The 16,886-nt window shown below is 34.8% G+C and overlaps 1 protein-coding gene across 9 annotated transcripts in view; it reads left to right on the top strand.

The window, feature by feature from the left end:
- BBS7 (Bardet-Biedl syndrome 7) overlaps positions 1–16,508 on the top strand; it is a 46,146-nt gene extending 29,638 nt beyond the window's left edge. For 4 of the 9 annotated variants that reach the window (NM_176824.3, XM_005263106.5, XM_011532080.4 and 1 more), the window contains exons 13-19: positions 1,141–1,206; positions 5,554–5,693; positions 7,442–7,606; positions 12,109–12,218; positions 12,332–12,435; positions 12,568–12,691; positions 14,844–16,508. In NM_176824.3, the coding sequence (NP_789794.1) occupies positions 1,141–1,206; positions 5,554–5,693; positions 7,442–7,606; positions 12,109–12,218; positions 12,332–12,435; positions 12,568–12,691; positions 14,844–14,977 (843 nt within the window). In that variant the 3' untranslated portion in view covers positions 14,978–16,508. Of the gene's footprint in view, positions 1–1,140; positions 1,207–5,553; positions 5,694–7,441; positions 7,607–12,108; positions 12,219–12,331; positions 12,436–12,567; positions 13,111–14,843 lie in introns of those variants that run through there. The other 5 variants (XM_017008357.3, XM_047415890.1, XM_047415889.1 and 2 more) reach the window with 2 other exon arrangements.

Raw genomic sequence — 16,886 nt, 5'->3', positions numbered from 1 at the left:
ATATTTACTTTTAAATTGATCAGTCCTCTCTGTTGAGTTTAAATGATTTGAAATTGAAATGTTTGAGTTTTATATTTTATATTACCATCCTTTTTATTTCTTTGATTATTTAATAAAAATAGAGAAATAGCAGTCTCAAAAATTACATATAAATTATCTTATGTTGCTGTGTCTCTTTTTGTAATCCATGAACCTAGCTACATTTCTCTATTTCTAGTAGTTTAATATTCAATTTCAAGAAGTTATAATATTTGAAAAAACTCCTCTAGGTTAGTTCAACAAACATGTATTAAGCACTTACAGTATGCCAGGCACTGTGCCATTTGCTGGGAATACAGAGAAGAGATATTTCTCTTTCCTGTATAAGTATTTGTGAAAAATCTAAGAGATTCAATATTAAACTCTGGTGTATGTGCCTTTACAGTATAAACATTTTGTATTAGTCCATTTTCACACTGCTGATAAAGACATATCCAAGATGGGACAATTTACAAAAGAAAGAGGTTTATTGGACTCACAGTTCCACCTGGCTGGGGAGGCCTCACAATCATGGCGGAAGGTGAAAGGCACATCTCACATGGCGGCAGACAAGAGAAAATGAGAGCCAAGAGAAAGGGGTTTCCCCTTATAAAACCATCAGATCTTATTCACTACCATGAGAGCAGTATGGGAGAAAATGGCCCCATGATTCAATTATCTCCCACTGAGTCCCTCCCACAACACATGGGAATTATGGCAGTACAATTCAAGATGAGATTTGAATGGGGACAGAGCCAAACCATATCACATTTGGTGTTTGCATTGTCAGATTTTTAGAAGAATTCTTAATGTTTAAAAATGTTATTGTAAAAACTCAAGATGGAAAGAGCATGAGCTTTCGATAGGAATTTGAATTCCAGTTTCATCACTTAATGGCTTTTATTTAACTCCTCATAACCTCAGTTTCTTCATCTGTTAAAATTTAATTAGTAAAACTTAGTGCATAGAGTTTTTGTAAGTGTAAGTTAGAACATGTTTGAAAAGCGCTGAGCACCAATGACAGGTGCTTAAGCAAATGGTAACCATTATTATTATTGATGTCTTTTTTTTGTTGCTAAAAACATGGATTCATTCTTTTCCTCCACTTTGTATTCTTCCCAGTCAAACGACAACTTCCTTCTTGCCACTTATCGGTGCCAGGCAGATACTACAAGGCTGGAACTCAAGGTAAAAATATTAGAAATTACCTTTACTTGAATGTTTGAATTTCCTTTTTCCTGCTGGTATGTCTTACAACATATGATATTATTTGTTTGCATTTAATTTCTCCCTGAAATGAATTGTTTGGAGTAATGAATTTTGAATGACCAGTTAGGATGTAATTTAGCCCACACCACAATCTCTGCTATTACTTCTTAATCACCTTCTCTAAAATTATTGATTTTATTTTTTAAATAGAAACTGGATTTTGCCATGTTGCCCAGGTTGGTCTCAAACTCCTGAGCTGAAGCAATCCACATGCCTCAGCCTCCCAAAGTGCTGGGATTACAGGGGTGAGCCACCATGCCCGGCCTAAAATTATTGGTCTTAAAGTTTCCTCTAACTGAAAAATTTTTTTCAAATTTTCTATTATAGAAAGTTTCAAACATTTATAAAAGTAATTAATCCCCATGTATTAATCACACAGCTTCAGCAATGATCAACTCATGGCCACTTTATTTATGCTATTCATTTACTACCCTAAAATATTTTGAAGCAAATACAAGATATTCATAATTTCATTTAATGTGTCTAAGATAGGTACTCTCTTTTTTTAAAACATAACTACAACACTATTATCACACCTAAGAAAAATCAACAATAATTTTTTAATATTATAAAATATTTAATGTTCAGATTTTACTGATTTTTGTTTTACAGCTTGTTTAATCCAGTCATCTTTTTTTTTTTTTTTGAGATGGAGTCTCGCTCTTGTGCTCTTGTCACCCAGGCTGGAGTGCAGTGGCATGATCTGGGTTCACCGCATCCTCCACTTCCCAGGTTCAAGTGATTCTCCTGCCTCAGCCTCCTGAGTAGCTGGGATTACAGGTGCCCACCACCACACCTGGCTAATTTTTGTACTTTTTTTTTTTTTAGGGACGGGGTTTTGCCACGTTGGCCAGGCTGGTCCTGACAGTCATCTTCTAAATTAACTTAGTTATTAAAGTATCTGGGCATTCACCATATATTTTCCTACCATCTGAATTTTGCTGATTGCATTCCAGTGATATCATTTATTACCATACATTCTAGAGAAAACCTTTTAAAGTTTTCTCTAGCAATTTAATGACATAGTCATTTTCATAATTAAATACTTACCATAGCACACAAATCTGTTTTAGTTATTTATAGTGGGATTAGTTTTGATAGACCTATTATCTAAAAATTAAGCACTATAACTTTTTTCCTGGTGTTGCTGATGTTTTGAAACTCAAAGGTTTTTTTTTTTTTTTTCAAGAGAGATGCTGTTACACAATATTTGTTTCACATCTGGTTAAGGAAGTTCCAGTTAAATATGATTTTTCCCCTAAACAATTCATTTTGGTCTGCATACATTCCCTTTTATGTACTTTGAAAGAAAAATGGAAAACTAGGATAAATTTATTTCTAAAAGAAAAAACACATTTAAACATTTTACATTGAGCAAGTTTCTGCTAATAAATTCAAAAGTCAAGTAAAAATTGATTAAAAGCAATGTTTCTCTTTTTTTTTTTTTAGATGGAGTCTTGCTCTGTCGCCCAGACTGGAATGCAGTGGCACAATCTTGACTCACTGCAACCTCCACCTCCCTGGTACAAGTGATTTTCGTGCCTCAGCCTCCCTAGTAGCTGGGATTACAGGCATGTACCACCATGCCTGGCTAATTTTTGTATTTTAGTAGAGACAGGGTTTCACCATGTTGGACAGGTTGGTCTCGAACTCCTGACCTCAGTTGATCCACCTGCCTTGGCCTCCCAAAGTGCTGGGATTATAGGTGTGAGCCACCACGCCCAACCGTCTTCCTCTTTTTTTAATTGGATATACTAATTTTAATGTATAGAAGAAAGACAAAATGCCTGAAAAGAGCCAAGAAAATTATGAAAAAGAAGAAAAGTAAGGTGGAACTTGCTTTGCCATATGATAAAACATACCATAAAACTACCATAATAAAAATAATGGAGGATATTTCCAAGCCTAAATAAATAGGCCATGCAACAGAATAATCTGGAAATAGAACCCAGAATATATTTCACATTTATGGGAATTTAGTGCATGACATTTCTATTTTAATAGAAGAGAACACTTCTATTAAATCACTATTTCTATTTAAAAATTGCTGTTGGCACAACTGGCATCCATCTAGAAGAAAATTAAATGAATTATTATCTTAAGCCATATATAAAAAATAAATTCAGATGAATTAAGTACCTACTTATTTAAAGAAAGAAGACTTCATTGTCTAACCGATAATAGGTAATTGTCAATAACATATAAACAGCCTACTGTTACAATAAAAACCACCGAGTAAGGAAAATAGGCAAAGGATATGGATAGGCAAGTCACAGAAGAGAAGATTGGGCACAGTGGCTCACGCCTGCAATCTTAGCACTTTGGGAGGCCAAGGCAGGCGGATCACTTGAGGTCAGGAGTTCAAGAACAGCCTGGCCAACATGGTGAAACCCTATCTCTACTAAAAGAAACAATAAAAAAAATTAGCTGGGCAGGGTGGCACACATCTGTAATCCCAGCTACTTGGGAGGCCGAGGCATGATAATCGCTTGAACCCAGGAGACGGAGGTTGCAGTGAGCTGAGATTGTGCCACTGTACTTCAGCTTGGGCAATGGAGTGAGACTCTATCTCAAAAAAAAACAAAAAAAACCCAAAACACAGAAGAGGGAATCAAAATAGCTAACAAACAAAAAAGTTCTACCTCATCTTTAGCCAGAGAAATTCAAATTCAAATAACAAAAAGCAGTTTCTTCTTATCCAACAGATTGGCAAAAAATGTTAAAGAACAACATCACTAGGGGGCAAGGATGAAGAAAATGACACTGTCAGTCATAGCTGGTGGAAATATAAGTTGTTACAGCCACTTAGGAAAATAGATATTAGCTCCTTTGGGGGAATCTATTAATGGCAATAAAATAGCAGTAATATACATAACAGACATGAATATAATTAATTGCAGCATTGCTTGTAGAAGCAGAAAAGTAGAACTAAGGTGAATACTCATTAATGATTGAAGGGTTGAATAAATAGCTATTTATCCATATCTTGGAATATTATACAGCTACTATAAAGAATGAGTTGATTTATACATGTTAACATGGAGGGAATTCCATAAAACACACAAAATGCTGATAAAACCTCTATGTATAATTTGAATATATTTTTATCTATAATGATATAAATATGAAGAAATGTATGAAAAGAAACACACCTGTCTGATATAGCCAGTTATACAATATGAGGAGGCATAAGTGGGATGGGAGGAGCAGGGAGGTGATGGTAATAGGAGAGGCAGAGATAAGGGGGAAAATGTGAATATTGGAAATGAAAGCAAAGATGTCTGATATCCAGTAGAACTTAGTCATGTGAAATGATATATTAAACTAGGTCCTTCTCTTAAATTAGATCTTCCTAGCTTAGTGAATTACTATTTCCTGTTAAGTATGTTGAATTCTCAGGATATCCGGCCAGTCATATTCAAAATAGCCCAAAAGAATTTCCAGTCCAAATATGCCATAGATTATAGGTATGCATCTCTATTTTCACAGAATGTCAACAATTAAGTTATTTGAAACAATTTTTCTGTCAATAGATTTTTATAATAACAGCTATATGCTAAATACTCTCTTTTTTTGTACATGTACGTAGAGAGACGTATGGAAGCATAACTACCAAAGTAGTAATAGTGATCATCTGGGGTGGGAGGATTGCAGGTGACTTACATGTTTCTCCAGATTTTTCTTTATTGTTTGAATTTGTGAATAAGGAATATTAATTGTTATACTGATTATTACAAAATAATTTTTCATATAAAATTGTTATGTCCTATATTAAAGCTTTTTTTCTTATGGAAAAAAATCTCTGCCAATATGAGCTTATTACTGTTTAAAAATCAACACCAAAATATAAGTTTATCAGATCTATTTTTTGTTTTCTTTCTGTACTTATTATCTTTTCTTATCCTCTTCCTTGTCAGCAATATTCACAGTGCAACATTTGCAAAAAATCTTGCTTAAACTTTTAAAATATTTCCCACTTAGGTCAAATGTTGATATTTTCCCCCTCATGCCATGAAAAGTATGAGTTAAAGTATTAATTAGATTAGAGAAGTTACCTTTGTGTAGTACAAGATGTACTACAGTCTGTCCCATGAATTGGAACAGAGTGGGACAGGAGAAAGAAGCTGGACAGCTTTCCAACTCCTCTTAAATTAGGTCTTCACATATTAGTGAATTTTAAGTACTTGATAACTTATGTTGAACATTCTAAAGATATGTTTTGTTGCTAAATATTCTTATTTTATTTCCTCTTTTGTGTTGAATCAGATTCGCTCAATTGAAGGCCAGTATGGCACACTACAAGCATATGTGACTCCAAGAATTCAACCCAAAACCTGTCAGGTCCGCCAGTACCACATCAAACCTCTTTCACTCCATCAAAGAACTCACTTTATTGATCATGACAGGTAGGACAAAGGAAAGAGCAAATTCTTTTTAGGATATTACACAATTCAAATAGACCTGTTTTTTATTTTTATAGTGTAAATTCTGTTAGCAATTTCTACTTTTAAAAATTAAATAAACAGTTTAAATATTATAGATTTAATATTTCCAATAAATATAAGATTCTTTGTCTTATTTTAGAGGCTGGTTTGAGTTGGACTTTCCCATCTTTCTCATATATTACTATTCTGGGATTATTAGAATAGCAGTTCTCTTTCTCAGATACTTAATGTGAGAGCAAATACTGTTTAACCTTTAGATAGTATAATAGTTCTCTGTGAATAGGACCTCATTGTATCAGCCTCAAATATTATATTTCCTTTATATTTCTTCTCAGGATAAAGAAAAATCAGATAAAGCAATTGGTTGTGATAGTGCCTTTTATTTCCATGCCAACTTAGGCATCCACTTCTTTGTAGTTTTTCAGAACATGAGCTTAAAGAGAAGGGAAAGAGATGAACAATTACTGATTACTTTCTTTGTGCCATGTATTATGCTAGGAGCTTATGTAGTATTTAATTCTTACAGCAAGACAGGTAATAATGTCTCCATTTTACAAATGAGAAATGGAGGCTTAGAAAAGTTAAGTAACTTGCTGATAAAAGGACTAAAGCTATGAATTGAAGCCAAAACCCATATTCTTTATATTGCTGCCTATAATTTAAAATATATAATTTCAATAAGATGTAAGACAGACTATTCCTAAAGAAGATTTTTTGGAAACATTTAAGAGAACAGACTCTTTCTGTCTTGCTTAAAAGTCAAGGTTGTACTAATGGAGGCAGCATGGTATGCTAGAAAGAACAGCAAATTGGGAATCAAGAGACTTGGATTACAATCTGTTCCTGTCTGACTTTGGGGGGATAATTTAATTTAGCCTCTAGGTTTTAGTTTTTTCATCTGCAAATGACAGGATTGGTCCGAACTTTTCATTTCATAAACTGCATTTTCTTAACTCTTTATAATTATCCATCTGATTTATTTTAAATTAGATTTATTTTACAGTTTTTTTAATGTTACTTTAGGGTGTGCTTTTGCAAGATAGAAAGTATGATCCCATATTTCAGGAAGATAGAAGGTATTATTCTATAAGTTGTCCAATGGCACAGAGCTAGTAAATAATGGAACAACCCATGCCTGTCTTACTCAAAAGCCCAATTCTTTGCCTTCACACTATACTGATTATTTCCCTAATGAGATCCTTGTATAAGTATGTTTTGTAGTTTATGTAGTAGAAATACTAGATAAGCTTTTTTAAAATGAGGGCTGGACGTGGTGGCTCACACCTGTAATCCCAGCACTTTGGGAAGCTGAAAGAAAAATTGCTTGAGCCCTGGAGTTTGAGACCAGCCTGGGCAACATAGTAAGACCTTGTCTCTATAAAAATAAAAAAATAAAAAAATAAACTTTTTAAAAATGAAATATACCCAAATAAATGAAATTTTATTTGAAAAGCATGTTATAATGAATAAAACCTGTTTACATATATCACTTAACTGATACTTAGCACAGGTGCAGGTATAGGTAAGTGTTCGATTTTTTTTCATGAAATTGAAATGTTCATTTATTTGACGTATAAGATTAATCTGAGAAAATTGAATGTTTTCATTTATATTTAACAACTATTACAAAATTCTGCTTATTAACGTGTACATATAATACTTTCATGTATTCCCACACATAAATGTGCGCCTCTACTATTATATTACAGACCCATGAATACACTGACCCTAACAGGCCAGTTCAGTTTTGCTGAAGTTCACTCCTGGGTGGTTTTTTGTCTGCCTGAAGTTCCAGAAAAACCTCCAGCAGGAGAATGTGTGACATTTTACTTTCAGAACACCTTTCTAGATACACAACTTGAAAGTACCTACAGGTAAATCTAACTTATTACTGGTTCACAAGTGTTGTTTTATATAAATGTAGCTTCTAAGTTTTCCTTTAAGTTAGGAGTTATTTGTGAGTAATCTGATTGAAAATCTATACTGTTCAAGATAATCTATTGAAAAATCAAATTAGTAAGTTTAGAAAAGTGATTGAGTAAAGATGTATATGCAAAGATCAATATATTTCCTAAGTTCCCAACAATAACAATAACAATAACTAGTGAGAAAATAAATTATTTAAAAAGAGCCCTTCAGAGTAGCAATAACAATAACAAAATAGCCAGATAAAATCTGTAGGAATATTCTTAATTAGAAATATGTAGAAGTTACATGAAGAAAACTGTAAGATTTTATTGACATAAACGACTTGATTAAATGGAGTAATATATTCTATAGTCATCAATATGAAGACATTGTAAAAGATGACAGTCCTACCCAAATTGATTTGAATATTTATCCTAATTCCAATAAAAACTCCAGTTGAATTTCTTTATGCACAAATATAACATGGCTTAGAACTTCAGGGCTTAGAAAATGCAGGCTTTTTGTAGCTATCCTGATATGGTGCGGAGGTCATTATATTGTTCTATACGCTTCTCAAGCTTCTAGTTGCACCCCTCGCTCCTCCACCATCACTTCTAACTCATCTTCTATAAGCTCCAATAATTCCTCTCAACTTCTCAATATAGTAGAAACTAAACTTTTCCTTCCTTTTTTTAACCTGTCTCTGAATGTGAAATGGCCTACTTCTTGGGCAAGGCCAATATCTCTACCTCTACCCATTAAGCTTGGATCCTCCTGCTTCTTCAAAGTCTTTGCATTCTCATTCTCACATCTGTAGGTTGTTTTTTGTTTTTGTTTTTTTGTTGTTGTTGCTGTTTGTTTTGTTTGTTTGTTTTGAGACAGGATCTCACTCTGTCACCCAGGTTAGAGTGCAGTGGCATGATCTCGGCTTACTGCAGCCTTGACCTCCCACCTCAGCCTCCTGAGTAGCTGGGACCACAGGCATGCACCACCATGCCCAGCTAATTTTTTTATTTTCTGTAGACAGGGTTTCACCATGTTGGTCAAGCTGGTCTCAAACTCCTGAGCTCAAGCAATCCTCCTGCGTTGGCCTCCTAAAGTGCTGGGATTATAGGCGTGAGCCACCACACCTGGCCTGTAGGTTGTTTGTTTTGTGTGTGTGTGTGTGTGTGTGTGTGTGTGTGTGTTTTTGTTTTTTTTGCTTTGTGTTATTTGTCTGGGAGAGAGCTCATTATTCTTTCTCTGCCTCTGCCTCTTAAGGTTCTTTCCCTAAGCAGATTATTGTGGTTTTCTCCTAAGTTCTAAAAACTTAGCATGGTAAAGTCTCAACTAGAGAGCAAGAAGTAGAATACCTCTTGCTTCTCTTGTTATTTTAGGATAATAACAGTATTATTCTAAAAACATAATTTTACCTCAGAATTCAGCCTTTTAGAACCAAGAACTCTTCAGAAATCTAATTGGTTTTTAACATCCATTCTGTGGAGGTTTTTCACTGTACCGTCCAAGGAAGCTTATCTGTGTCTAAACCTGTAATAATTACTCCCATTTTGAAGTACCACAATGAACCTCACACATTAATCATAGCAGACAATTCAACATGCCCCTAGCATATTATATACTTTTATAATAGCAGACCTTTGCTCTTTTATCATTCTGTGTCTTTGAGTATTTTTTCTTAAGATTCAAAACTGTTTATCCTTTAAGGTCCAACTTAATAGCTACTTTTTTTTTTTTAAGAGAGTCTCACTGTGTTGCCCAAGCTGGTCTCAAACTCCTGGCTTCAAGCAATCCTCCTGCCTCAGCCTCCCCAGTAGCTGGGATTATAGGTGCAAGCTACTGCATCCTGCAGTAGCTACATTTTTGAAGCCTTCTTTGATTCTCCCTTGATTCTCTTCTCTGTTTCCATAGCATTTTTTCTTACTTGTCTGTGATATTTATTGTTATCTGCTTAAAGTATATAATAATTTTTTATTTTTTATTTTATTCTTTTTTTGAGACAGAGTCTTGCTTTGTTGCCATTCTGGAGTGCAGTGGCACGATCTTGGCTCACTGCAACCGCCACCTCCTGGGTTCAAGTGATTCTCCTGCCTCAACCTCCCGAGTAGTTGGGACTACAGGCATGTGCCACCACGCCCAGCTAATTTTTGTATTTTTAGTAGAGACTAGTTTCACCGTGTTGGCCAGGATGGTCTTGATCTCTTGACCTCGTGATCTGCCTGCCTCAGCCTCCCAAAGTACTGGTATTACAGGCATGAGCCACCAAGCCCGGCCTCTAATAATTTTTATACAAACTTATTTCTCTAAGTTAAACTTTATTTTCATGGACAGTCTAATTTTAAATATCTTTGTATGTAGCCTGCAAGGACCTAAAACATAGTTTTGCACATAATAGGTACTCAACAGATGTTTTTCGGATGCCTGAATAAAATATATGTGTATGGAGGTAGTGTAGAAGTATGTGCTTTGGAGGCAGATGTACTAATGTTTCAATCCTGGCTCTGTGACTTACCAGCTGTGTGACCCTAGCTGGTTGCTTAACTCTCTGAACTTCAGTTTTCTTTTCTGAGGAATGAAAATAATAGCACTTACTTTATTGAATTGTTATGATGATTAAAAGAAGATAACCATTTGAGTCATTCTATAGTACCTGGCACTATGTGTTTACTAAATATCATCTGTTAAGATTAAAGACTAATAGAAATGTCATGATTTCTAAAACATAATTGAGATCAAAGTAGTAAGGGTGTATTATTTATCTTTCTAGAAAAAAAAATTATCTTTTTTTTTATTTGTTTTGAGACAGGGTCTCACTCATCAGCCCAGGCTGGAGTGCAGTGTCTCAATCTCAGCTCACTGCAACCTCCTCCTCCCAGGCCCAAGTGATTCTAATGCCTTAGCCTCCTGAGTAGCTGGAATTTTAGGAGTGTGCTACCACGCCTGGCTAATTTTTGTATTTTCAGTAGAGACGGGTCTCACCATGTTGGCCAGGTTAGTCTCGAACTCCTGACCTCAAGTGATCTGCCCGCCTTGGCCTCCCAAAGTGCTGGGATTACAGGCGTGAGCCACCACAACGGACCAAAGCAATTATCATTTGCATATAGCTAGTTGGTATACATCATTTGTGTGTGTGTGAAAACCAAATGAAAAGGTAACATTAACTATATGAAAGATGATATATATTAATTAGGAAACTTGGTCATCGTAAAAAGGAACCAAATGCAAGCAGCTTAACCAAATAAAATAAATTTATCGGCTCACATAACTTAAAAGTCTAGCAGTAATCTGCCTCACGCACAACTGGATCAGTGGCTTAATTGATGTCATCAAGATTTTATCCCTTGTTCAGTTCTGCTTTTATCTTTTCTTGGCTTTACCATGCAGTGTTATGGCCACCAGCAGTTCCTAGAATCCAGTCTTACATATTTTCAGCTGCTATAGAGCTTCTCTTGCCCACTGGCTCCAATAAAAGTCCCAGGATTGAGTATCATTGTTAAGCCATGAACCACTGTGGTCAGGGGTATGGAATGTACTGCTCAATGCTTCCTCCTGAAGTCCCAGAAATAGACTGAGACCATTGCCACTGAAACTGAAGAGGGCAAGAGAAAGAGGAGTGGTACCCTAAAGAAAAATAACGATCCTGGCCGGGCGTGGTGGCTCACGCCTGTAATCTCAGTAGCTCATGCCTGTAATCCCAGCACTTTGGGAGGCCAAGGTGGGCGGATCACAAGGTCAGGAGATCGAGACCATCCTGGCCAACATGGTGAGACCCCCATCTCTACTCAAAATACGAAAACATTAGCTGGGTGTAGTGGCATGTGCCTGTAATCCCAGCTACTTGGGAGGCTGAGGCAGGAGAATCGCTTGAACCCAGAAAGTGGAGGTTGTAGTGAGTGGAGATCACGCCACTGCACTCCAGCCTGGCAACAGAATGAGACTCCGTCTCAAAAAAAAAAAAAAAAGAAAAATAATGGTCCTCTGACCATAAGCAGTGGCATTGGATGCTGAGCATGAAAAACAGCAGATGTCACTCTTTCATATTTGATATCAGATTTCTTTTAAGGATAAAGCATATAGTCACACTGTAATTTGTGTGATTACATGAAAGAAAAACATACTTATGTAAGTAAGCAATTCTAAGTGCATTTTATATATGTCTATATATGAGACTAGCTGTTGGAAATATTAGTGAAAAATGAAGATAAAAGTTGTTTAAATGAAGTTTTTATATAAATTGTCACATCTTTAGGAGGCATATATCTTGTTTAGTTTTACGAGTATATTCAGAAGCTGAATTAATATAACAGTAAAGGATTACATGTTTAAATTTGCTTTATATTAATGATATATGTATACAGAAGAAATCTACAGTCAAATGAAATCTATACTCTAAGTACTAATCATAAAATATATATGTACTGGACAATTTCCTTCTACAGCTATTCTTTTAAAAAATATATTAATTTTATAGAAAAGGAGAGGGAGTTTTTAAATCTGACAACATTTCTACTATCTCCATCCTAAAAGATGTGCTTTCTAAAGAAGCTACAAAAAGGAAAATTAACCTCAACATATCATACGGTAAACAAACAAAATTAATAATTCTTTCTGATGTTTATTTTGTGTTGTTGTTACATTATTAATGTTTCTGATCAAAGTGATTTATCTAACTGCATCTGGTCAACTCCTTCTAGAGATAAATGAAGTATCAGTCAAACACACTTTAAAGCTAATCCACCCAAAGCTGGAGTACCAGTTGCTTTTGGCTAAGAAAGTGCAGTTAATTGATGCTTTAAAAGTAAGTACATGTGTCGTCGTGGACTGGTGATTATTATTTGAAGTCATAGGATTTCTAAAATTATCAATACTTTAACATTACATTGGATTGAATTTTGAATATTAAGGTGCTTCTGTTTTTCATTTTAAATAGGAATTACAGATTCATGAGGGAAATACGAACTTTCTGATACCAGAATATCACTGTATTCTAGAAGAGGCAGATCACCTACAGGAAGAATACAAAAAGCAACCTGCACATCTTGAAAGACTCTATGGTTAGTGGACCATTCTAGAATACCTTGCCATATTTCTTTTCAACTGGCTATTTCCCAAGGATCATGTAAGAGAAGCTGGGCAGAAAGATAAAAAGATTACATCAGTCATGATTCATGAACCAGTCATGAATCAGTTGACAACAAATTTATTGCACAGAATATTTCTGTATTTTGTCAAGCTACTTTTAATATTTAATTCTTTTACTTGATAAAATGCAAGTATATTAAGAAATAAGTATACTGTGATGAATTAATCTATATATATGAACAAACCTGGTATAAAATGAATGTAATCTATGAACCTTTAGAGCTTAGACTGTATTTCACACAAATAATTGTCATGTTTTGTTGCTATTGTGAATTATAAAAATGCAGCATTTAAAATTTTTAAGGCAAAATTTAATAAAGGATATACAGTATTTGTGTTGTGTCAATTTATAGTTCAAAACTTTGGTGGTGAGAAGCTGAATGTTTCACAAATTGTATTGAAACAGAGTAAGGGAGGTGAGGAGAGGGAAAGAAGGAGTGAGGAAGGAAGAAACAGCTTAAGAAAAACAATTTTGTTAGCAATCTTTACATAAGACCTGTTGTATATAGCACACTATTTACACTGTCTTCATAATCAGGTGAGATATTTAATCCTTACAATAGCTCTGCAAGGTAGGTGGTATTATCTTCATTTTTCATATGCTTTAACTGAAATCTGAGTCTAAGGAATTTGTTGTCACCTAGCAAGTTAGTGATCATGCCTGCATTAGAATCTTCTCACCCCAAAATGCATGCCTTTTACACTATGCCAAGCCTTCCATAGTCACTGTAGAGCCAATTGGTATCACTAGTACACATGGATCCTTAAGCCTGCCTACTGAATTTTTTATTACATATCCAGAGACTTTCTCACAAACTGTAGCTATATTTAATGTCTTAACCTTTATTACATGACAAGCACATGATCTCTTTTATCCTTATAATAACTTATGAGATTGGCTGTACATAATATCACTGATTGCAAAATCCAGACAGCTTTGTAAACCAAAGTTTTTTTCATAAATAATTTGACAGCAAAATCTTGACTTAATCTGAATTAATTTAATAACAAAATCTGACTTAAACTGACATGAGGTTTTATATATATTTTTTGTTTGTTTGTTTGTTTGTTTTTTGAGACAGAGTCTCGCTTGGTCTCCCAGGCTGGAGTCAGTGGCGCGATCTCGGCTTACTGCAGCCTCTGCCCCCTGGGTTCAAGCAATTCTCCTGCCTCAGCCTCCTGAGTAGCTGCGATTACAGGTGTGCGCCACCATGCCCAGCTAATTTTTTTGTACTTTTAGTAGAGACAGGGTTTCACCATATTGGCCAGGCTGGTCTCCAACCCCTGACTTCGTGATCTGCCCACCTCAGCCTCCCAAAGTGCTGGGATTACAGGCATGAGCCACCGTGCCCAGCCCAAGGTTATATCTTTTTTATTCCACTTAGTGCAAATATTCATCCGTATATTTTGTGCCAGAAATAGTACTATGTTTTGCTATTGGATGCTGCTACTCAGTCCCCTTGGGGTTAATACCATAGTATATTCCTTTCATTATCTTCCTAAAATAGGAAAAATTCTGAAATACATCTTGCATCAAGCTTTTTGGATAAAGGATTGACAGCTTGAATTATTCCTGTTTTACATATGAGAAAACTCAAGGTGAAATGATTTGCCCAGATCTTTGAACCTAGGACTATTTGCCTTCAAGTCAAATCCCAAGAATGGTCAACATATAGGTGGAATATTTTAATTCAGATAAGCTGTTAAAAATAGAATCTGCCTAGACTATGTCAAAATGGTCAGCTTGGTGGAAAAAATATACCACTTGTTGTGATGTTATATATACTGATAGCAGTTCAAAAATGGCCAGTAGTTGATTGTCTGAATTAATAGCTTGTAATCAATTGTTAAGAGGGTTATTAGGCAGATGATTTATATCTTGAAACTTGTTTTAAAATCCCCCCAAAATGACTATTTTTAAAAACATGGCTTTTAGGTTTGTGTATGTTAAATCATGGAATTACAGGTGCTTAAAAATAGATTATCAAGCAATTACTTTAGTGAAATACTGTGTCATTAAATATAACTAATCACTGACAGGAAATTTATGTTTTTTCTTTAAAGGCATGATCACTGATCTTTTCATAGATAAATTTAAGTTTAAAGGCACCAATGTAAAAACTAAAGTACCCCTTCTATTGGAAATTCTGGACAGTTATGACCAAAATGCATTGATTTCATTCTTCGATGCAGCATGACATACAAATAAGGTAAAGTCCCAAAGAAGTGGTCTGTTTAAATGAAAAATGTTAAAAGAGAATTAGAAGTTAACTGTGTATGTACTTTAATTTCAAATGCTTTTTTATATCTAAAAATATTTGAGATATAATGGCTTTTTAAAGTAATGCTTCTATTTCTTTTGACAAATTGAACTTTCTAAAACTAAAAGAGTCTTTTTATTTTTAAAACACAAGTAGAATGATTTAAATAGGATTTTAATGAATTTTTGGCAAGTGGCTGTTTTAATTTTTAAATTGAGAAGTAATATGTGGAAAATTAAAATATATTCAAATGTATTACAAGGTACATAAACACATAAACATGTAGACCGCTTTATAGGCTTCAAAATGTATTTTTATATATTACCTTATTTGATCTTCACAACTGTTGTAAAATTTGTCAAATCATATAAGAAAACTGATTCTCAGTGAAATTTTGTGATTAAGAGGACATGCTAATATTTTGTAAAGCTGGGACCAGAACCCAAGTACTGGTACTTGCTTTGTGTCCTGGTTACTATGTATGTTGCCAGCTAGTGGAAATAACCTACCAATTGTTTTTTCTAGGAGATAGGATTGATTTGCAACTGATATTCCTTTTGCTTGGTAGTGTTTTATGACTCTGCTGCAGTTTGTGGAAATGCTGGACTTGGCTCAGTGCTATAAATTGTAGCCAGGAAATAAGAAGAGCTTACACAGAGTCGGGGGATCTTAATTAGACATGCTGTAACCAGTGGAGCTATTCAGCGTGCTTCAAGTGAAGAGTGCAGAAATAGTGATGCCATCTTAGATTTTCCTACACTAGTATCTTCTAGATCTCTTTTTATCATATATGACATTAAGGCTACAGAAGTTTTGTGCATTAATCTTAATTCATATTTATTAATTTCAAGGGAATATTGAAAGGTTTTAAAATGGCATACAGATAATGGAAAATAAGCTTTATGTTTCAAGAAGGGCAGACTCACGAATTTTTTAGAAAACAGTGCTTCTTAATGATATGCTATTATACTTATTAGTTATGTGCAAGCTTTGTATATTCTTATATTTATATATAAATATAAAAATTTGTTAAAGGCACGTATAGTTAAGAGAGTTTTATTTTAATAAGGTCATATTGTTTTTACTATGTTTAAAAAACTTTACTTCTGAAAGGAACATAATTATATCTAGGTCACTAGAACGTCATTGTGTTTTTTGTTGGTTGCCACAGCTTGGGGAAAAATAGAAAAAAATTAATGACTGTATTTGAATATTTTGTAATGCACTGCTATTTATTATATATATCAACAGTAGTTCAAGGTGCCATCTTAAATTAATTGCATCTTCATTAGGAAAAATAAAAAGCATAAAACACAATTTCTGGTTACTATGAATAAACGCCTAAATGTTAAGATGACATTACAGTCTTGACACTTGAGTACTGTATTACTATGTGAGCTCCGTGTTAAATAATTTATGCACATTATTTAATCCTAACAACCATATGACTGTAGTTATTAGTCCCTATTAACACATAAGAAAACGGAGAATCGGAGATACTGAAAAACGTGCCCCAGATTTTAGACCTTTGGAAAAAGTCACTTAAGCTAACTAGACGTCCCAGAGCTAAAGGCTGGGCAACCCAAATGATAGTCGCCAAAGTTTAATTCCGTTTAATTCCCTAAAAGGCTTAGAGTCAGCCTTCGGACAGCCTCGCTCACTAGGTGGCTCAGCTTAAAATAATCGGAAGCGTCGGGCCCTAAATCCTACCTCTCCCCGCCCCGCGCAGGCGTTTTCTCCCGCCCCAGCCAGTTTGTTTCTCCCTCCTGCCCCGCCCCTGCTCAGTTTCCTTTGGTTTACCCTTCACTCGCCTGCGACCCTGTCGCCTTGAATGACGTCAAGGCCG

This window comes from Homo sapiens, chromosome 4, assembly GCF_000001405.40.
Source record: "Homo sapiens chromosome 4, GRCh38.p14 Primary Assembly".
Classification (NCBI taxonomy): domain Eukaryota; kingdom Metazoa; phylum Chordata; class Mammalia; order Primates; family Hominidae; genus Homo; species Homo sapiens.
Note: the sequence above shows the minus strand (reverse complement) of the source record. Positions and strands in the feature narration are given on the sequence as shown.